The sequence below is a fragment of the Homo sapiens genome, chromosome 5 (assembly GCF_000001405.40).
Source record: "Homo sapiens chromosome 5, GRCh38.p14 Primary Assembly".
NCBI classification, from domain to species: domain Eukaryota; kingdom Metazoa; phylum Chordata; class Mammalia; order Primates; family Hominidae; genus Homo; species Homo sapiens.
Window position 1 is genome coordinate 103,814,984 of NC_000005.10, and position 23,138 is coordinate 103,838,121.

General features: G+C 39.3%; 1 long non-coding RNA gene across 1 annotated transcript in view; it reads left to right on the plus strand.

The window, feature by feature from the left end:
• The window catches only part of LOC105379107 (uncharacterized), a 339,090-nt gene that overhangs the window by 207,752 nt on the left and 108,200 nt on the right, over positions 1-23,138 (plus strand). Inside the window, exon 3 of the long non-coding RNA XR_001742831.2 lies at positions 4,179-4,251. This is a non-coding gene — a long non-coding RNA (uncharacterized LOC105379107). The remainder of the gene's footprint in view (positions 1-4,178; positions 4,252-23,138) is intronic.

A 23,138-nucleotide genomic window follows, 5' to 3' on the forward strand; every position in this document is an offset into this window, starting at 1 on the left:
GTAGCAGTAAAATAATGCAACATTGATCAAGCAACCAACTTTCATTTCACTGGTGTCAATTTTAATGTGTAAAATGGAGAAGTGTGAGATCTTTTTTGGTAGGTATCTTAACCACTGGAGGGGATCAAATTTCTAAAGATTCCTTCCTACCTGGTGACATTAGTAGGTTATGCAAGAAATACCTGGAACAGCCCCTTTAGGGAGTGAACAAATAAATTCCTCTGGTTTATTTTTATTTTGTACTCCTCAGACTGAAGAACTCCCTTCTTTCCTCCCTCCCTTCCTGTCTCTCTCCTTTCCTTTTTACCTTTCTATTTCTGGTCTCAGATGCTTTTAAAACTTTACAAAAACAACTAAAACATCTGCTTGAGTTAAGACGCTTATTGGTTCTCTCATATTAAAAGTTCAGAGATACGCTGGCTTCAGCTGATAGTTGATCACTGACTATCCTGAGTAGCTAGTTTCTTTTACTTTCTTAATACAGGCTTTCTTCTAAAGAGTACTTCTTTTCTGGTAGCTTTTACAGAAAATCAAGAAAATTTTTTCTCTGAATTTTATCTTTTCTCATAGCCAAAGTCAGATCATGATCCATCTCTGAATTCATTGGTTAGCTAAACAGATGGGATTTCTGATTTGCACAAGCCAAGGAATTTCAGTTTGGGTTCAATATCTTTCCAACTGCATGGCATAGAAGGGAAGAGATGCGATTAGCTGAAAGGAATTTGAATACTAGACTCACTTGCTGGGCAATCTCCTCTGGTCCTGAGACTTTGAATCTAATAAAACATAATGACTCCTATATACATAATCTCCAGTTTGGGACATTCATGTTAAGCTTCATTTTTTTATGCATCACATTTTCTACTTAATACCACTCCTTTGATATCTAATAGGCCTTTACTAGTTAGGATGTCTGTAGCCAAACTCTTGATTTCCATCGTCTGTTTACTATTTTCCCCCTTTACTTTTTCCCATCTCAGTAAAAATTCATCCAGTTCCTAAGCTCAAATGTTTTGGAGTCATCCTTGAATCCTGTCGTTTTCTTTTCTTTTCTTTTCTTTTGTTTTTTGAGATGAAGTCTTACTCTGTCTCCCAGACTGGAGTGCAGTGGCGCGATCTTGGCTCACTGCAAGCTCCACCTCCCGGTTCACGCCATTCTTCTGCCTCAGCCTCCCGAGTAGCTGGGACTACAGGCGCCCGCCACCACGCCTGGCTAATTTTTTTGTATTTTAGTAGACACGGGGTTTCACCGTGTTAATCAGGATGGTCTCGATCTCCTGACCTCATGATCCGCCTGCCTCGGCCTCCCAAAATGCTGGGATTACAGGCGTGAGCCACCTCGCCTGGCTGGGCTAATGTATTTTTATATCAGCTGTTTTCCTTTTCCTATTTGTCATAACTATTTATATTATGTTTAATATATATATTAGTTATATTACACATAACTAAGAGTCTGTGGGACACATCACCTGCCTTTGAAACAGTAATACATGTGTGGGGAAGAATTTTAAGAAGGTCATATTATAAATTACTTATCTGCTATGTTATAATTTACCAGTACCTTATTGGGCTCCATTTGTTTGAACTTAATAAAGAATATTCAACTCCAGGCAAAATACAGATGTGGAGTCCTTTAATTTACCATTCGAATAAGAACTTGCATGGACACTATTAATTACATAGATTATAAAGCATTTTTTCAACATAAAACATTATCTCCTTTAAGTCTGATGATATTAAATTATCATATCATTAAACAAATATATGATTTAGGAAAAAAGTTTTACAGCATATTTCCCTTTCTTCTTACCTTAGAAACATTTAATATTTTAAAATAATTACACATTTATTAAAAGAAAAAAGAAACTGATGTTTTATTTTTGATGAAATTTTACCCCCGCCTTTTTTTTTTTTTTTTTTTTTTTTTTTTGAGATGGAGTCTTGCTTTGTTGCCCAGGCTGGAATACAGTGGTGGGATCTCAGCTCACTGCAACCTCTGCCTCCCAGGTTCAAGCAATTCCCCTGCCTCAGCCTCCCAAGTAGCTGGAACTACAGGCACACGCCACCAAGCCCAGCTAATTTTTTGTATTTTAGTAAAGATGGTGTTTCACCATGTTGGCCGGGATGGTCTCAATCTCCTGACCTCGTGGTCCACCCACCTCAGCCTTCCAAAGTGCTGGGATTACAGGCGTGAACCACCGCCTCAGGCCTTTCCCCCACTTTCAAGAGGTAAGAATAGTGCGAATTTGGATGAGGAAAAGAAAGTAAGGTTCTTCCAAATTCTTCCAGTTAAATATTGCAACACTTGTGGAAGCTGCCTTTATATTTACATCCCAACTCATAGCACCTAGTAGATTCTCAATAAATATTTGTTTTACGAATGAACATCTGGTAGTGTTAAAGTTAATGAAGAGGTATCAGTGTTTCATTGAACATGGAATATCAAGACACCATAACTATAATCTCAGAAATTCTATCCATCACAATACTGAAAGTAGCTTTAATTATGTTTTCTTGAGTAATTCCTACATTATGTTAAGTGATACACTATTCTAAAACATAGAATTCTGGCTGGGCGCAGTGGCTTATGCCTGTAATCCCAGCACTTTGGGAGGGCAAGGTGGGTGGATCATGAGGTCAGGAGTTCAAGACCATCCTGACCAACATGGTGAAACCCCATCTCTACTAATAATACAAAAATTAACCAGGCATGGTGGCAGGCACCTGTAATCCCAGCTACTCAGGAGGTTGAGGCAGGAGAATTGCTTGAACCTTGGAGGCAGAGGTTGCATTGAGCCAAGATCGTGCCACTGCCCTGCAGTCTGGGTGAGAGAGTGAGACTCCATCTCAAAAAAAACAAAAAACAAAACAAAACACACACACAAAAACATACAATTCTATTGGCCGGGCATCATGGCTCACTCCTGTAATCCCAACACTTTGGAAGGCTGAGGCGGGTTGTCCGTCTGGTGTCAGAAGTTCAAGACCAGCCTGGCTAACATGGTGAAACCCTGTCTCTACTAAAAATACAAACATTAGCCAGGTCTGGTAATGCACACCTGTAATCCCAAATATTCAGGAGGCTGAGGTGGGAGAATCCCTTGGACCTGGGAGGCAGAGGTTGCAGTGATAGATGATTACACCACTGCACTCCAGCCTGGGTGACAGAACGAGACTCTGTTTAAAAAAAATAAAATAGGCGGGGTGCAGTGGCTCACGCCTATAATCCTAGCACTTTGGGAGGCCGAGGAGGGCGGATCACGAGGTCAGGAGATGGAGGCCAACCTGGCCAACATCATGAAACCCCATCTCCACTAAAATTACAAATATTAGCCCAGTGTGGTGGTGCATGCCTGTAGTCCCAGCTACCCAGGAGGCTGAATCAGGGGAATCGCTGGAACCCAGGAGGTGGAGGTTGCAGTGAGCCGAGATTGCGCCACTGTACTCCAGTGCACTCCACTGGGCGACAGAGTGAGACTCCATCTCAAAAAAAAAAAAAAAAAAGTAAAATTCTATTAATTTTTCCATATGTATACACATATTTTCACCATTCAAATCATGATATGGAGTACTTCCTGCACCGTGAAATGTTCCCTAATGCCTCTTTCCTCCCGTCCGCACTCTCAGCAATGAGATAACTACTATTCTGACTTCTGTTCCTGTTATGGGCTGAATCCTCACCTCCACCAAATTTATATATTGAACTTGTGATCCCTAGAACCTCAGAATGTGACTGTATTTGGAGATAGAATCCCTCAAAAAGGAATTAAGATAACATGAGGTCACATGGTGGGCTCAAATATAATACTAGAAGAGGAGGAGATTAGGACACAGCTAACATAGATGGAATAATGACCATGTGAGGGCATAGCAAAAAGCCAGCAGCCATCTGCAAGCCAAGGAAAGAGACCTCAGAAAGAAAGCCTGCTGACACCTTGATCTTGAATTTCTAACCTCCAGAAATGTGAGAAAATAAATTTCTGTTATTTAATCCATCCAACCTGTAGTGTTTGCAGACCTAGCCAATGACTACAGTTACCATGGATTAATTTTGTCTATTCTCTAATATTATATAAGTGAAATTATACTCATTTTGTGTCTGGCTTTTTTCACTCAACATGTGTTAAGAATCATTCATGTTGTTGTGCATATCAGTAAATTGGCTGTTTTCCCTGTAGATCTTGAAGAACCAAGATCCAGAGAGAAGTGAAAGGAATCAGTGTTCCATGGAACGGAAGTGCATCAGGAAAGGTAGGGAGATACAAGGATATATGACATGTTTTGGGAATTGTGTGCATCTTGAAGGGCAGGAGCCAGGACACCTGTGGGAAATGTGTGTGTGTAGGAAACTGAGGCAGGAGAGGGAGACAGGGGCCAGTATCTCAGAGTCAGAGGAAACTCAAAAGATTTGGACAGATTGGAACAAGGTAAGAGTCCTGAACCTCCTTGTTGGATTTTCTGGGGACGTCTGTACTGTCTCTTGAAGTCCCCATTACCCAGTGTAAACTGGCTATTTTTATAGTTGAGTAGTATTCCACAGCATGAATAAATCACAATTTATCTGTCCATTGTCTTGTGATAGATGTTTGATTTTTTTTTTCTAGTTTTGGGCAATTGTTTTTGTTTTTTTGGCTTTTTTTTTCTTTTTCTTTTTCTTTTTCTTTTTGTTTTTTTTTTTTTTTTTTTTGAGACAGAGTCTCACTCTGTCACCAGGCTGCAGTGCAGTGGTGCAATCTTGGTTCACTGCATCCTCCACCTCCCGGGTTCAAGTGATTCTCCTGCCTCAGCCTCCCGAGTAGCTGGGATTACAGGTGCCCACGACCACGCCTGGCTAATTTTTGTATTTTTAGTAGAGACGGGGTTTCACCATGTTGGCCAGGATGGTCTTGATCTCTTGACCTCGTGATCCACCCACCTCGGCCTCCCAAAGTGCTGGGATTACAGGTGTGAGCCACTGTGCCCAGCCCAGGAAGTTGTAAATGAAGCTGCAATTAAAAAGTGGACATACGTTTTTATTTCTCTACTGTAAATATCTATAAGTAGAATACCTAGGGTAAGTGTATATTTAAATATCAAATAAGTTGATAAATAGTTTTACAAAATTATACCACCTTACACTCACCAGCAATGTGTAAGAGTTTCATTTGTTTAATATTCTTGTAAAAACTTGGTTTTATCAGTCTTTTGAATTTTAGCCTAGCTGGTGGGTGTATATAATATGGTAAGTGTGTCATTGTAATTTTAATTTGCATTTCCTTCCTGTTAACTATTGATGTTGATCATTTATTCATATTGTCTCTGGCTATTTGATATTCCCTTTTAAAAAATGTCTCTTCCTGCCGGGCGTGGTGGCTCATGCCTGTAATCCCAGCACTTTAGAATGCTGAGGTGGATGGATCATGAGGTCAGGAGTTCAAGACCAGCCTGGCCAAGATGGTGAAAGCCCGTCTCTACCAAAAATACAAAAATTAATCGGGTGTGGTGGAAGGCACCTTTAATCCCAGCTACTTGGGATGCAAAGGCAGGGAATTGCTTGAACCGGGAGGTGGAGGTTGCAGTGAGCCGAGATCACATCACTGCACTCTAGCCTGGGTGACAGACTGAGGCTCCATCTCAAAAAAAAAAAAAAAAAAAGTATCTCCCAATATTTTGCCCATTTAAAAAAATTGAGGTTTGTTTTTTCATTTACATTCCTATATTTATTTGTAGGAATTCTTTATATTCTCTGGTATAAGTTCTCTGTCAGATATAGGTATTGCTTATATCTTCTTAGAATCTGCATATATCTTAATGGGATCAATTTTAAGTTGGAAAAAGTGATGAAATATGTATTCCTGATGATATAAATTACTAAGATAGAGAGCAATAGGATTTCTCAAATACTACTAATGGCAGTGTAAATTTTTCCAACCATTTTAAAAAGATATTTGTTACTAACAACTAAATTTCAGCATCTGCAAATCCTGAGATCCATTATTCTAATCTTAGTTATATATACAATAAAAATATGCTTTCATACACAGCAAAAAATGTACCAGATTGTTCATGGAAATATTACTTATAATAGTGAAAAGCTTAAAATTAACAAAATGTTATCAGTAGAAATAATAAATAAATATTGGTATACTTATCATCACTGGAACATTATACAACATTGAAAATAAATGAACCACAGCTTCACATGATATGTGAATAAATCTAAAAAACAGAATATTGAGTGAAATAAGTTAAATTCAAAGGAAAAAATAATAATGATTTCATTAATAGAAGATTCAAAAACATGATAAACTAAACCACAGTGTTAGCAGTCAGGAAAGTGGCCATCTTTTGTATTCATTATAATGCTGAAAAACAAATTGCTTCAAAACTTAATGCCTTAAAACAACACTAAACATTTATCGTCTTACAGTGTGCGTGAGTCAAGAACTTTGGGGCAGCTTAGTTGTGTGGTTATGGCTCAGAGTCTCTCATGAAGTTCAGTCTAAATGCCCGCTAGAGCTTTAGTTGTCTGAAGATTTCACTGGGGTGGGGGAATACATCTCAGGATGGCTCACTCACAGGGCTTTTGGCAGGAGGCCATAGTGCCTTTCTGGCTGTGGCAGAGAGCCTCAAGTCTGCTCCATGTGGGCACCTTCATAGGGCCACGGCCTGAGTTCTCTTGCCATGAGAGCTGGCTTCCTCCAGAGTTAGTGATCTAAGAGCCCATGTTAGAAGGACGCATAATGCTTCTTGCAATCTAGTCCCTAAAGTCAAACACAGCTGGTTCTGCCATATTCCCTTTGTTAGAAGCAAGTCATTAAGTCCAGTACACATGTGGGGAGGGGATTAGGCTTCACCTTTTGAAGAAAGGATTATCAAATAATTTGGGCACATATTTAAAAACTGCAAAACCATTGGAAAGAAGGGAGGGGATAGTTATTGAAAAGAAACATGGAGTGAGAGACTTGGATATTTTATTTCTTACATTGGTGGTTTTCCCTTGTGATAGATAATTTGCTGTGCTATATACTTTTGTGAGTTTTTTCTGTGTGTATATTACAATAAAGAGTTAAAATGTTTAATGCTAATTTTGATCAACTTTTTAAATGCTACTTTTACAAAAGTAGCCATTTGAAGAGATACTTTCAAAAAGATACACAGAAGAAAAACACTATTAAGTACAAACAGGCTAATTAATTATGTACATGTGCATTTCTCTATTGTAGCAAATGTTGTGTACTAAGTTATTTCCTAGGTCTACCAGAACACCAAATACCTGGCATACATTTTTATGGCACATAATGGTCAAGGTACCAATAGTTCTTTAAGTTCATAAAAGCACTTAATTATTCCCGCGCTCAATTCTAGTTAGTTATATAATCAAGTCAATTTTTTTTCCTTAAAATAATGGCTATGTTAGCTTCCTAATATAACCCTCTGCCCAAGATTCCTCAGAAAAAGGAAATATCCTTCAGAGAATGTGAGTTCTATGGTCCTTCAGGTACTGTTTGGCACTGAGAAGTTGTGGCATTGTCTCAATATTGGAGATGCAGAGTTGATTAGTCTGCACCTTGGAGTTACAAAAGAATTGCATTCTCTATTGGATTCGATTATGTTAAATGCTGCTGTGAAAACAGGAGCAGGTAAGTAAAGGACTCTTGGATATAGAATATACACGAAAGGGAAAGATCAACCAATTCACTGACCACTCTTAAAGTCAGCTCCCCTAGTCCCACTGAAACAGGACTAACACATATTTGAAAGAACTGAGGTTTAATTACTGTGTCTTTTAGTTTCATCCAGTACTTCTCGAAAGCTCTGAAATTTCTTCCATGATGATGAATTCTGTTTCTATTGATATGTGACATTATAAAAGTGACAGGAACACTTGGAAATTATGGCAGAGTGTACTTTGGAGGGGTCCCATTTTCTATATGTAAAAGCCACTAGGTTCATTCTTTATATAATTCTGAACTAAAATGAAAATTAATATATGGTAATATAAGTTCATCTCTGAGAATACTTACCTTGAGAATACCACTTTTATCTAAGTGTTCATTAGCAAAGGTAATAAATCTAATATTCTCTACCAAATAATCATACATTAAAAAACTATTCCTGAACCAGGATACAAATGTGCATCACCTGAATTAACTAAAGAATATTTTTTAAAGAATCTTAGAGATCAGTTTTAAGTAGGTGCTAGGATATTATTAACTATTTTTTGCTTGCTACGAAAGAGAGCCATCTTGCTTTATCAAGCAAGGCTCATAGACTTCATTTAGAATTTTTGACATTTGCAGATATAAATAGAGTATGTGAACAAGAGCAGGACATTTAGGTGACTCTTTTAGCAGAGTTCTGAAGGTAGGGGTTACGCACACTAATAATATGATTATCAAAATTGTTTCTGATGATATATAGTATTGAAAAATGGGTCTGATGATTTCTTAGCCTGCACTCTACCTAAGGGAAATGGAAATAGATGAAAAGATGTACAGCAGTTAAAAAGATCAGGATACCGAAAGAGCAGTTATCATTATTATAGTAAATTTAGTCCAGAATATTTGAAGATGAGTCTCCGCACTTGGTTGATAACCATTGCCCTGAAGAAAACCACAAATGATTTCCCTTGGAAGTAGGCTAAGAAAGATAATTCCAAAAGGACCTTCTTGATTATAGTTAATAAGCTTTTCAGTCCATAATGATGTCCATGCGCATGGAATGAACAAATTCCTGAAGTGGACTTCTGAATTCAGTGGGTCTCAAAGACTTTCTTAGGCAAGAATAATTCTTTGTGTGTCTAAACAGTAGACATCCGCATATGTAGGTTAAAACTGGAATGTACAATACATGTATGTCCGATTTAGAGAATACAAATTCTTACTTTCATGTGTATTTGGCCATTTGCATTGATGTCTGTGAGATTAGGTATTATCCAGTGGCAATGGTATAGTCATTCTTATTTCATTTACATTTTATATTTCATACCAGGTGTGTGTCACTTTATGCATAGCAATTATGACCCAGAAACAGCTCAATTTTTAAGTCTCTTTGAGGATATATATGTTTGTAGGTTTCTACTTCAGACATATAAAGGTTGATTATATTCATCTGAACGGTATTATTTAAGTTTGGATGGGATATTTTCAGTCAGGGAACAATATTAGTTTTTCATGGTAATGAAAGACTTAGAGGTGGGCTTTGGAGCAGGACAGCTTGGCTTTGAATCCTGGTTGTGAGTTTCCTCATCTGTAAAATATGAATAATGATGATAGTAACACCTACCTCATAAGGTGTTTTTAAGAGTAACTGAGGTAGCAAATGAAAAGGACCTAGCATGGTATATGATAAACCATATCGTAGGCACTAAACCATAAATAGGCAGCAGGTATTGTCATTCTTTCTAGATCAGGAAGTTTCATGAAAGGGATGGTGATGGTGGTGGAATTGCCTTCTATTATATTTCCAACCCAACCAGCTGCCTCACCATTATGTGCCATCAACTACAAGAGCTAAGAAATTATAGATGGCTTGGAACAAGCCACTTCCTCTGCCTGAGAAATACTTTAGAATGAATTTTGAAGTTTGGTCTTTGCAATTCATCAGTATTATATTATTTTCATAGATAGAATTAGATGACTGAAAGTGGAATAGCACATAAAGCCTTCAAAATTTGATATTCCACAGCAGTTTGGAAGTACGAATTCAAGATAGACAGACATGCCATGGTTGAAGAATCAAAATGAAGTTTAGAGTTATTCAGAAAACATGCACAATTCCAAAAGGCAATCTGGGTAACTCATAGCAAATAGTGGCAGCTTTATAAGACATCATTATCAATAAACATTTATAAGCATCCACTAGGGCCAAGACCATACCTGGCACTGGAAATTACAGAATGATTGCTGAACTCTCAATTTCACTTTGGCTCTGGAGACATAGCCATGCATTGTTGCATAAGGGAGTGGAATGGGAAATGATCACAGTAAGATTTTATTGTGAATTCTGAAAAGACATGCCGCAGATGGTTTCAGGTGCTTGATGGTACAATCATCAATATGATTACGTTCAAATAAGTAATATTCATCAACACAACTTCAATCAGTGTATGAATTATTCCAATGAACATTTTTAAAGTCTTGAAAATAACCCTTTCTTTAATGCCTTTTCTTTTATTTATACTATTCAGTTTTGTGATAGCTTTAAACCCATGCATGTGTGCACACACACAGACAAGATACAAGAGAAATCATGAGGAAATTTCTCAGGAAAATATTTAAAGACACCAAAATTTTCAGGCCTCAGCAGTCAATTTAGTTAGCAGATACAGTGAGTGCTAATGAGTAATTCAGTTCCACCAAGTCAGACCCTGTCTTGCCACTGCATTTGATATAATTTATGTTAGCATGGAAATAATAGATTAAGAACAGATAGTTTAGTCTCACTCATATTCTATATTTTTGGGTTATCAGTGACTAAGTGCTGTACCTTGTTAGGTAACTACATATATCAGCATTGCAAGGTGTGACAATGGCATTAACATTACCTTTTATTTTCAGACAAAAGCTTTTAATTACTGCATTGGTTACATTTATCTTTAATAAAATGTCCCATTTGTTTATTGTAGAAGAGAAACCAAAGAGAGTAATATGTTAGGCTAGTGCTTCTCAAAGTTTGTGCAGACACTTCACTTGGGGATCCATTCTGTTAAAATGTAGATGCGAATTTATTAGATCTGAGGAGAAACTTGAAAACTTACATTTCCAACAAGCTCTCAGTTGATGACTGCTTGTAGTTCCTGCACTGTATTTTGAGTGGCAAAGTCTTAGACAACACATTGACATAAGTTGATTTTATATGAAAATACCTTGTATTTAAGGAAAGACATGCCTTGATTGTTATTGGAATCTGGTTTCTGTGAGTGCCAGAACTATAAGGAAAGTCATTCTAATTACTTCCTATGAACCTGTGAGAGCGAATTCTGCATTCAAGGATACTCATTGTTCTAGGTAAAAATTCTATATTTCCTGACCTACAATAAAAAGTGGCATCTTTGTTGTAAATTTATAAGAGTAAGCATATTAAAAGAGAAGCCTCATTCTGGAAACAAAAGCTGAAATGGTTTATTTCTATTCCTTTGCAAATTAGCACAAGAGGCTATATTTCTAATCTCAAATCTTCCCATCTGTTATCTTATCTTAGTGCCTATTTTTTATGTATTTTGTTATAGTTTTGAAAGAATATCAGATGTAGTTTATCCTTTTCACATTTCTTTTTTCTTTGTATCCTGGAACCTTCCTACCCATAGAACTAGTTTGAGAGGCTGAGGCATATTGCTCCAGTGAAGGGAACACAGAAAATAATTTAAAGGGAATAAAGAGTGCAATTCTTAGGTTTTGAGCTCCCAGGTAGACTTTTATAAATCTATTGCAAAGTCAATAGTCTGAAAGTCAAAGCTCTTCTGAGATGGAAGGGATGGAATATATTCAGAGAGAATAGTTTTGTTTTGTTTTGTTTGAATTCCAAACTATGGGCTCTGAATATCAAGAGCAAAACCTAGAGGATTCATAGCACAGAGTTTATACAATACGCCACAGACTACGGAAGACTGTGAATGACATGAAAGCAGTGTGCCACTCAAATGAAGCCGGATTTGATCAGTGGTTGGAAGATCAGAGGGAATGAAACTAGAACTCAAAGGCTACCTGGAATCATTGTCTGGGTAGTGTGGGGTAGGGAGTGGGGCTTGAGAGTAAATAAAAACACACATATGTTTAGGGGAATCTGCGAGTGGAAGGGGCTGGTCTTGACTCACAGAATGTGTAGGTTGGTGACACTATAAATCTCTTTGGGAGGACTCGTATCTAGAAGCAGAACAGCAAAAGCTGAGAGAAACAGCTCTAACAGTAGGCCTGGTGGTACTCAGAGCCCTGTTCTCATAAGTGTGGGGAAGGGGATTGTACGAAAAAGAAGCCTGGATCAGGATAAGGGGTCGATCCATACTTGATCTGGGTTGTGGCAAGATGAAGGACATCAGCAGAAAATGTCAGCATTTTATAAAGGAGACTAGATGAATTCCACACAATGTGGAAAGTCAAAATCCTTGGGTCAGATACCTGGCAATAGAAAGAGCCCTTGAAACCATAGATGATGTCCAATAAAACAGGGAAAGGGAAACCAGATGGGAATGGGAGTTGTGGAAGAATCCTAACGAACAACCTGAATTGACTGAGTTGATCTAAACAGAGATCAAGGTTAAAGAAGTGACTCTGTTTACCTTGAGTTGTAAAGATTGAATTATCTTGTCATCATTAGAAATTGAGGGATGGAGGCTAATAAGCTAAATTAAGTTGAACAATGTAATAATAAAGTTGCAATTTATTTATTTATTTATCTATTTTGAGACGGAGTCTCGCTCTGTCACTAGGCTGGAGGGCAGTGGCACGGATCTCGGCTCACAGCAACCTCCGCCTCTTTGGTTCAAGCGATTCTCCTGCCTCAGCCTCCCAAGTGGCTGGGACTGCAGGCGCTCACCACCACGCCTGGCTAATTTTTTTTTTTTTTTTTTGAGACGGGGTCTCACACTGTCGCCCAGGCTGGAGTGCAGTGGTGTGGCCTCGGCTCACTGCAAGCTCCGCCCTCCAGGTTCACGCCATTCTCCTGCCTCAGCCTCCCCAGTAGCTGGGACTACAGGTGCCCGCCACTACACCCAGCTAATTTTTTTGTATTTTTAGTAGAGACGGGGTTTAACCATGTTAGCCAGGATGGTCTCGATCTCTTGACCTTGTGATCCACCCACCTCGGCCTCCCAAAGTGCTGGGATTACAGGCGTGAGCCACCGCGCCTGGCCTAAAGTTGCAATTTATTAACCTGAGTTCTATGTCAATTTATCATCTCTATAGCAAAATCATGCTAGTTCTGCTTACTTCAATTTTTTAAATAATAAGAGAAAAATAGATTTATATAGAATTTTAGAGTAGGAATCAACCTCAGGGATAATTGATTCATACCACTCTCCTTCTTACAATCTTTAGATACTTTTCCTTTTTCTCAGAATAAGTCCCCAAATCCTTAATGTGGTCTCAGAGACCCCCTGGATCTGACTCTTTGCCAGCTCTGCCGCCTGATCTTGCCCTGTGGCTCTCTGTTTCACCCACATGTTCTTGATGTCTCAGACTTGACCGGCTCTGTCTCACCTCAGGGCCTTTTCAGATATTGTTCTCTCTGCCTGGAAGACTTTCTCTTCCAACCACAAACTAGGTCACGTTTCCTTGTTAAATGCGTGTGTGTTACCCTGCACTGCTTCTTTATACTACCTATCACAATTGAAATTGAAATATGTGTGTGGATAATGTCAGCCTTCCTTCATAGGCTGTAGGTCTTCAGTGGTCCAGATACCAGGTCTGCTGTATTCAGTGATGTAATACATAGCTCCAGTGCATAGCACAAGCCTGACATGCTCATTAATACTTGGGGAGGGAGAGAGCAAGGGAATGGAAGATTGATACGATCTAACACTCTCATTTTACACACGAAGGTGTGGGGTTTGATAAGATGAATATTTCCAGTGATCCTTACCTGTAATCAAAAAGGTATTTTATTATAATTGGTGTGAGGCTGGGAAGAAATTTTCTCCAATGCTCAGAGATACTCAAAATAAATTCAGGAATATTGTCGAGTTTAAGAAATCATTACTCTCTACTTCTCTAGCCCTTTTTTGTATACATTATGTTTATTTTTCTTTGTGAAAACTGCTTTTAAAAGAATCATCTCATGCCAGTCAGAAGGGCGATTATTAAAAAGTCAGTAAACAATAGGTGCAGGTGAAGCTGTGGAGAAATAGGAATGCTTTTGCACTGTTGGTGGGAATGTAAATGAGTTCAACCATTGTGGAAGACAGCATGGCGGTTCCTCAAGGATCTAGAACCAGAAATACCATTAGACCCAGAAATCCCATTATTGGGTATATACCCAAAGGAATATAACTCATTCTACTAGAAAGACACATGCACGCATATGTTTATTGCAGCACTATTCACAATAGCAAAGACTTGGAACCAACCCAAATACCCATCAATGATAGACTGGATAAAGAAAATGTGGTACATATACACCATGGAATACTATGTAGCCATAAAAAGGAATGAGATCATGTCTTTTGCAGGGACATGGAAGAAGCTGAAAGCCATCATCTTCCCCAAACTAACACAGGAACAGAAAACCAAACATTGCATGTTCTCACTCATAAGTGGGAGTTGAACAGTGAAAACATATGGACACAGAGAGGGCAACATCACACACCAGGGCCTGTTGTGGGGTGGGGAGACAGGCGAGGGAACTTAGAGGACAGGTCAATAGGTACAGAAAACCATCATGTCACATGTATAACTATGTAACAAATCTGCACGTTCTGCACATGTATCCCATTTATTTTAGAAGAAATAAAGAAAAAAAAATCATCAGTCGCACTTTTATCACATCTCAGATAAAATGTTAAGGCTAGACCTTTTGCAATTTTTAAGCTCATTAAGTTTTGTGGTTTTTGAAAGATGGATAGGCACCAGATGACCAATTAGCCTCCAAATGTTTTGTTAGTCAGAAACCCACATATTTTGAAAAGATGTTTGCCATACCTGCAAAATGAAGCGAGAAAGACCAAAAAGACAGCTACAAATATTACTAAAGAAGAGAGTCTCAGCTTGTATTCTCTTATACAAGATTATGTAACTATACTAAATTGGTACTAATTTGGTAATCTTACCTTTGATATGCTTCCAGTCTCAAAATTCTATGCGCTGCAGCCTCGAGGGGGCGCTCACACTAGATTTGAATGAAATGTATTTTGCTGCACAGCGGAAGAAAATGTTTATTTTATTCCTGGTTTTCTGTTGCTTCTTGGCGTGGAAGCTGTGGAAACGGCTAAACCTTATCAATATTTAGCATCTTTTCTCTAAAATGACAAACTTTAGAAAAATAATTCAATATCAAGGTAAATAACCATACCTCTAGCTGCCTGAATATGCTTTAAACACTGTTGGAAAAACAGAATATTTCCCCTAAGAAAACTATATGAATGTCAGACAACTATTTTTTTTCCATAAGGCCTTATAAATAATAACTAATATTGTGCTAGGACAATAGAGGATTTTCTCAGTCTCCTCTGGGTGCCAGGTAGAACACTGGCTGTTAGCTCAGCTTTATGACAAAGTATTATTTTTCTGCTAAAACAGATGGATTTTGAATTGACATTTTGACATCACAGAATAATACATACTGTCCTTTCAAACACTCTTCTAGGATACATCAGGAAAGCAACTATTAAGTAAAATATATGACAGCAGGACTTCATTCTACTTTTCTTACTTGAGTGTTTATTTGTTTGAATTGGCTGTAGATAGGCTCCTAAGGATTTGAAGTGTGTCAGAAATGATTTGATTTAAGTCAAAAAATGAGCACAATCACACTTTGTCAACAGTCCCCAAATGACTTCTTCTTGGGAGGTTCCACCTTTATGGACAAAATGCAATAAGTTGAGAAAAGCTTTCATGGGATTGTCTCATTTGTAAAATAGATTTAAGACCTGAAAATGACATAGGAATATTTACCAGCTATAGATATTAACAAAATAATTTATACTTCCAGATAAGTGGATATGGAAATATGGAGACATGTATGGGATGGCTTGAAAATGGCATACAAATACGTAGAGATGTTATCAGAATAATTTCTATATCTATAAATGTAGGCTTAGAGACATGTCGGAGTAATGATTAAAGAAATATTTCCGGCTGGGTGCGGTGGCTCACGCCTGTAATCCCAGCACTTTGGGAGGCCGAGGTGGGCAGATCACAAGGTCAGGAGATCGAGACCATCCTGGCTAACACGGTGAAACCCCATCTCTACTAAAAAATACAAAAAAATTGGCCAGGCTTGGTGGCGGGCACCTGTAGTCCCAGCTACTCGGGAGGTTGAGGCAGGAGAATGGTGTGAACCCGGGAGGCGGGGCTTGCAGTGAGCCGAGATGGCACCACTGCACTCCAGCCGGGGTGACAGAACAAGACTCAGTTTCAAAAAAAAAAAAAAAGAAGAAAAAGAAATATTTCCTATGGGAAATGATCACAGTGAGGATTTTATTGTAACTGTGTGTGCATGTGTAGAGTAAAAAGACTACTGATTATTGCATTTATTATGTAGAGTTATTATGTATGAAGGAACATTGAAATCTGTTGTATTTTTCTAAAGGAAAACTTCTTGTTGTGCTTCATGTGCAGCCTTCTTCACAGATTTGAAGAAGTTTGGTTTGTTTCTTGAATCATTTATTTGATAGGTTCATTTCTTTGGATTTATTTTCCACTTTTAAGTTCAAATATGAGATTGTTTCTCTTGTAAAGACCACCTTTAACATTTTAACAACCTACTTAAAGATATTCCTCCTGACCACACCATTCTTATACACACCTACTCTTGCCCATCTGAGCTGTTTTAGTAAACTGTCAATTGTATCTTTTTCTTCAATTCCTCTGAAATCATTTTTAATCATTTAGATGAAAGCTGTCAGTGCTTATTCATTTTACCTCTCAAAAGAACTCAAAAGGCACTGCATTCTCATTTGCATGCTAATCGTTTCTTTCAGTCTTGCATTATTTTTAGTAGTGCACTTTGCTTCTCCAACATGAAATTAAGGCTGATAAAACAGAGCTATTTCATTGAGACTGCAGTAAGTGACATTATAGGCATAAGTATTATTATTATTAATATTAATTTTAATATTACAGACACTTAATTGAGAGTTTTCTCAAGAACTTACTTTATAAAGCTGGTTAAATATTATATTTAGTTTGTATTAGCTTAATCCTTTAAAAATCATGTTTCTAAATCTTGTGTAAAACATTTTGGTAAAAGGATGTTTCAAGACCCTTCAGTCAGCAAAGTGAAAATGAGACCTTTGATTCTCTTCTTAGACTACTCTTTATTTGAATGATGCAGGTTTCTCTATAGTGATCAAAGTGAATCACATGAAAGTGAATAGGACAAAGGGAATACTCCAGAAAGTTTGGATATTTTAAAAATTGCCTATTCATATAAATTAGAACTCAAATCCATATCAATCTTATAACTTAATCAAAAGAAAGATGTTAGCCAATTAGTTTGAATTCCTAAAATATGCCAGGTACATTACAAGCACTATGTCATTTTAATCATTCAGATGAGGACCCCATACAGATAAGGACACTGATGTCCACAGAGGTTGAATAAGTTGCCTAGCATTTTACCTCCAAAAATGATAGAAGTGGGAGATAGATTTAGGTTTCTCTGACTCCAAAGATGGTGATCCACTGAATTACTGGATTAATTTCTTGCATGTTTCCTTGTCTTACCTGTAATGATTAAAATGATTCTTTCACACTCTTGGGTAGTGAACTCTGCAAAGTAGGTTTGCTGTGCCCTGGTTAAACTTGTCTAAGTCCAGTAAGACAGAGCACCCCCAGACACAACAAGGTAAACGAAGCAGATTTATTACTTACAGATGGGCAGCCAGAAACAACAGAAGCCTAGGATTCATCTTCAGCCAGTCCACCAGGGCTGAGGAAGCGGCTTAGGGCAGATGGATCTCATCTGTGAGTGCCCCACTTGTATCACAAATGAGGGACTACTGAGTTGAAGGGTATCCCGTTTTTAGGTGAGATTGAAATAGTGTCTGGGCTCTTCTGAACAGTATCTTCCTATTTCAGGATGCTGCCTTTCCAGCACATTCTATGTTTTTTTTGTTTGTTTGTTTTGAGACAGAGTCTCACTCTGTCACCAGGCTGGAGTGCAGTGGCGTGATCTTGGCTCACTGCAAGCTCCGGCTCCCTGGTTCAAGCAATTTTCCTGCCTCAGCCTCCCGAGTAGCTGGGATTACAGGCATGTGCCACCACGCTCAGCTAATTTTTATATTTTTAGTAGAGACAGGGTTTTGCCATGTTGGCTAGGATGCTCTTGATCTCCTGACCTCATGATCTGCCCACCTCTGCCTCGCAAAGTGCTGGGATTACAGGTGTGAGCCACTGCGCCTGGCCTTTCTATGGTTATTGTTGAGAACTACAAGTGAGAGAGAGGAGAGAGCTGGGTCAATCAAGGTCACCTGGAGAACTATCTTGCAAACTGAACTGTTGAAGACAGTGTCAACAATAAAAAACCTTAAATTCTATATCTAAGATTCAGGGATGCATACTGAATCCTGGATGTAGAATTTAAGGTTTTCAGTTGTTGGACATTGTCTTCTTTCTCTGCTTTGTTTTTTTTTTTTTTTTGAGACAGAGTCTCGCTCTGTCGCCCAGGCTGGAGGGCAGTGGCACCATCTCAGCTCACTGAAAGCTCTGCCTCCTGGGTTCACGCCATTCTCCTGCCTCAGCCTACCGAGTAGCTGGGACTACAGGTGCCCGTCACCATGCCCAGCTAATTTTTTGTATTTTTAGTAGAGACAGGGTTTCACCTTTCCCTGAATTTTTAAATGATTCAATAAGAGAAATAGTTTGGGTGAAAACTAAAATTTGAGAGAACAGGCTCAACATTCATGCATTTCAAAATTCAAGATTTCCCTTATCATATGCAACTGTCTCTCAATAAGCAATGGTGTTTGGGGATAGCAGTTAGAGAACCTTATGTTCTCAAGTTTCAAGCATATTTTATATGATTATTAATATTTTAAATATTTTAGTAACTCTTGAACTATTTAATTTACTTATACCACTTGGTAAGGCATAAAAGTGAACAGCTATTTGGTGAGATTCCATATAGCTGTTCACTTTCACTGTTTATCTTAGACAGTTATGTGATGAGATGGGTCTAGAGTTTGTTCTGAATTTCAGATGATGATTAACAACAATGTAATCATTAATATTTGTATTGTTTCCACAGCTATGTGGAAAAGATGGTGAAAAAGGAACACATGTCAAGAGATAAGATAATAGGTGGATGTGTTAATCAGACCCTGACTCCAATCATAGAATGAGAAAGGTCAATGTATGTGAAAGATAAATTATTCTTCTTTTGGTTGGGGGAAATGAGGTCTAAAAAATAATTAATTGATAGCAGAGCCAAGGCAAAAAACTGGATCTGTGCAGAAATAATCAACGAAGGGGTAGGAATTTGACCTCAGGTTATTGCAGTCCATATCCCATCCTTCACAGCAGCCCAAGGGTTCTGGATATCTCCCAGTAGGGTGTGGAAGGGTTTTTAGAGTAGGGCAAGGTCATATAGGTCTTAAAAAGGGTTTTGGGTTTCTTAGATGGGTGGAGGTTGCTCCCTGGAGTTGACCTCAAATGGTGCCCTTCACATTTGGGGAGGAAGTCATACCCCTCCCCTTCCCCACTCTGATTCAGGAGTTTGTGATGCTTCTGGGAAAGTATCCCCTGAGGCTGTTGGTCTAAGACGATTATGTAGGCCTGCTGAAGCTCTATGGAGACAGAGGCAAGTTCCTCCTCTGCAGTGAGCCTATCTCTGCCCCCAGGCATAGGCTCAGGCCCTCACTAGTCAGTACCATTTCTAGTCAGGCATCAGGCTGAAAGTGTTTTCTCCTTATTCTTCATCATTCCCACAGCTGCTGATAAGACCAAGATCCTGGGATCCATGGGGCTGTTGAAGAGTCCTAGGTCCAAAGAGGGGAGGGAACTTGCCTGAAGTCACATAGTCAAGAGGCAAAGCTGAGAACAGAGCACTGGTGCAGCCATTTTATTTTCACAGCAAAGCTGGGAGAGGGGTGATTCTTCCCCCATGAGGAAGCTGAGTCTCAGAGAGGTTAAACAACTTGTCCATGGTCACACAGCTAGTAAGAAGTGCTAATAACAACAGGAACAATAATTATATTAATAAGCAAATGTGTCTGGCATTACTGTGCACTAAGCATTATCTCGTTGAGAACTCACAGTTCTAGGAAACTGAAGATCAGAGAAGTGAAGTAACAAGTGAAAGTCAAATAAATAGCTAGTAAGTAGGGATCGAGGTAAAATGAGCTAACATTTATGGAGCACTCTGTGTGTGCCAAATACCTTGCTATGTATTAATAATTCTCACATCCCTCTAAAGAGAAAGGGTACAATTGTTTCAATTTTATAAATGATGCAAGTAGGCTTAGAGCAGTTTATTTAGTAGTTATTTAGTGAAGGTTGCCACTATAGACTAAATTGTATTCCCCAAAAATTCATATGTGAAAGCCTCAACTTCCAATGTGATTGTATCTGGAGACAGGGTCTTTAGGAGGTAATTACAATTAAATGAGTTCATAAGGGTGGGGCCTTAATCCAATAGGATTGTGACATTATCAAAAAAGTGCAGCTGGGCGTGGTGGCTCATGCCTATAATCCCAGCACTTTGGGAGGCTGAGGTGGGTGGATCACCTGAGGTAAGGAGTTCGAGACCATCCTGGCCAACATGGTGAAACCCCGTCTCTACTAAAAATACAAAAATTAGCCAGGCGTGATGGTGGGTGCCTGTAATCTCAGCTACTCTGGAGGCTGAGGCAGGAGAATTGCTTGAACACGGGAGACAGAGGTTGCAGTGGGGTGAGATCACACCATTACACTCCAGCCGGGGCGACAACAGCGAGACTGCATTTCAAAAAAAAAAAACAAAAAACAGAAAAAAAAAGAAAGAAAAGAAAAGTGCTATGATCTGAATGTCCCCCCAAATTCATTTGTTGAAACTTAATAGCCAATTTGATAGTATTAAGAAGTGTGGCCTTTTAAGAGGCAATGAAGTTATGAGGGTGGAGCCTTCATGAATGAGATTAATAACCTTTTAAAAGGACTTAAGGGACTGAGTTTACATCTTTCGCCCCTTCTGCCATGTGAGTGCCCAGCGTTCCTGCCCTCTGGAGGATGCAGCAACAAGGCACTATCTTGGAAGCAGTCAGTAGCCTCTCACCAGACACTGAACCTGCCAGACACTTGATCTTGGACTTCTCAGCCTCCAGAATTATGAGAAATAAATTTCTATTGTTTATAAATTACCTGGTCTTTGATATTTTGTTGTAGCAGTACAAATAGACTAAGAGAGAAAGAGAAACGTCTCTGTCTCTCCACGATGGGAGGATACAAATGAGACAGCAGCTATCTGCAAACCAGGGTGAGAGGCCCTTCCCAGAACTGGACCATGCTGGCGCCATGGTCTCAGACTCCCAGTTTCCAGAACAGTGAGAAAATTAATTTCTGTTTTTAAGCCACACAGTCTGTGGTATTTTTTTTGACAGCCCTAGCTGACTAATAAAGTTGCACAGCTAGTAAATATGAAATCATAATAATAATAATAAATGAACATGTATTAAGCAATACTGTGTCCCAAATGTTATGTTATTATGAATACTTTATCATATTCATAATTACATCAATATTATGGCATGTCATAGAGTCAAGGAACTGCACAAGACCACATAGCCAGTGAGTGGCAGAGCCAGCACTGGAACTCAGACCCCTTGATAGAGTGATGCTTCTGTGGAAGGGGAAGTTGCTGAATGCTGAGGCCCTTCATCCTGGACCAAGACAAGGATACTTTGAGGTCTTCCTGCTGGAGTAGGCATCTGCAGGGCATGGGCATCCACAGGGCGACATTCTCACCTACAGCTTCAGTGGCATCATGCCAGCATGCCTTCCCCCTGCTACAGGCTGACATGACCAAGACATGTGGACTGTGGCCCTCAACTACCATGGAGGAGAAGAAAATGGGGCCCAGGGATCCCAAGGTGGGTATGAAGCTGCCAAAACCAATGACCATATAGAGGGGATGAAAGGAGCTGTTGCCCAGCAACCCAGAGCTTTGAGTCTCATTTACTCTTGCCAGTGGGACTTCATCTCCAGGGCCCCGTTTACGTCCCCACCTGGTGTCTCCACTCTGGAGGGTTCTCTGTTTCTTCCCTCTGGGAGAGAAGCTGTACTCTGACATCTGGTCAGGGGCATGGGGCTCAGCAGGCCCCTCTGCTAGCCATTGGATGGAGAGGAACCCTACTTTGTCCCACTAGTCCTGAGGGCTTAGCCCCAGGGCACCTGTGAGGTTCTTTCATGAGAAGGAGGGAAGGAATGAAGAGCTGATCCACTCCCTGGCCAACTGAGGAAATAATTCCCAGACACCAGAGAACTCTGTTCTATTTCATAGATTGGGAAGCTGAGGTTAAAAAGAGACAAAGGAACTTGAGGAAATCTGCTGACAGCCTTTACATAGCCCTCAAACTGATCATACTAAATAATATAGGGGACTTTTGTTTGTTTGTCTTTTAAGGTTCTAAGCAGCAAAGTCTCCCCTCCCCTGATAGCAGAATGCTCCAAGTTGAGGCTTTCATTGGGACATTAGTGTGGAGTAGGAGTTTTCCCCAACTGAGGGTTGACTCACAGATGGGTCCCAGTTTTGCACCTAAGACTCCTGACAAGTGTTTCGCCTTGGAGGCTGTATTAGTCTGTTCTCACACTGCTGTAAAGATGCTACCTGAGATCGGGTAATTTATAAACAAAAGAGGTTTAGTTGATTCACATTTAAAAGTTACCAAAACAAACAATATATTGGAATAGAAAATAAGATATAAAATGTCAGAGGACAAAAATAAAAATGTTTTAATTTGAGATTCTCTTTCACACTGCGTGGCTGGAGAAGCCTCAGGAAACTTACAATCAGGAGAAGGGGAAACAAGGCATGTCTTACATGGAGGCAGGAGAGAGACCAAGAGCTGCCACACCCTTTTAAACCATCAGATCTCGTGAGAACTCACTATCATGAGAACAACAGGGGGGAAACCGCCCCAATCATACAATCACCTCCCACCAGGTCCCCGCCTTGACATGTGGGGATTACAATTCAGGATGAGATTTGGGTGGGGTCACAGAACCAAACCACATCAGGGGCTATCACATTTGGATCCAGACAGAATTAGGTAGGGCTCCTGTCAGGTTGGTGTCCTTACCTATTTGTGTCTCCCATTTCCTAGTCTGTCTCATGAGGTCAGCACTTCACAGGGTGATTATGAAGATGAATGAAGGTCAAAACCTTAACATGAGGTCTAGCACATGATAGGCACTCAGTAAATGCTGCCCATTTCCATATCTTAAACAAACAAACAGACAACTCTCGCTCCTCACTGGTTCTATGCACTTAAATGTTTTAAAATTATCCATGGCAAGGAGTTTATATAC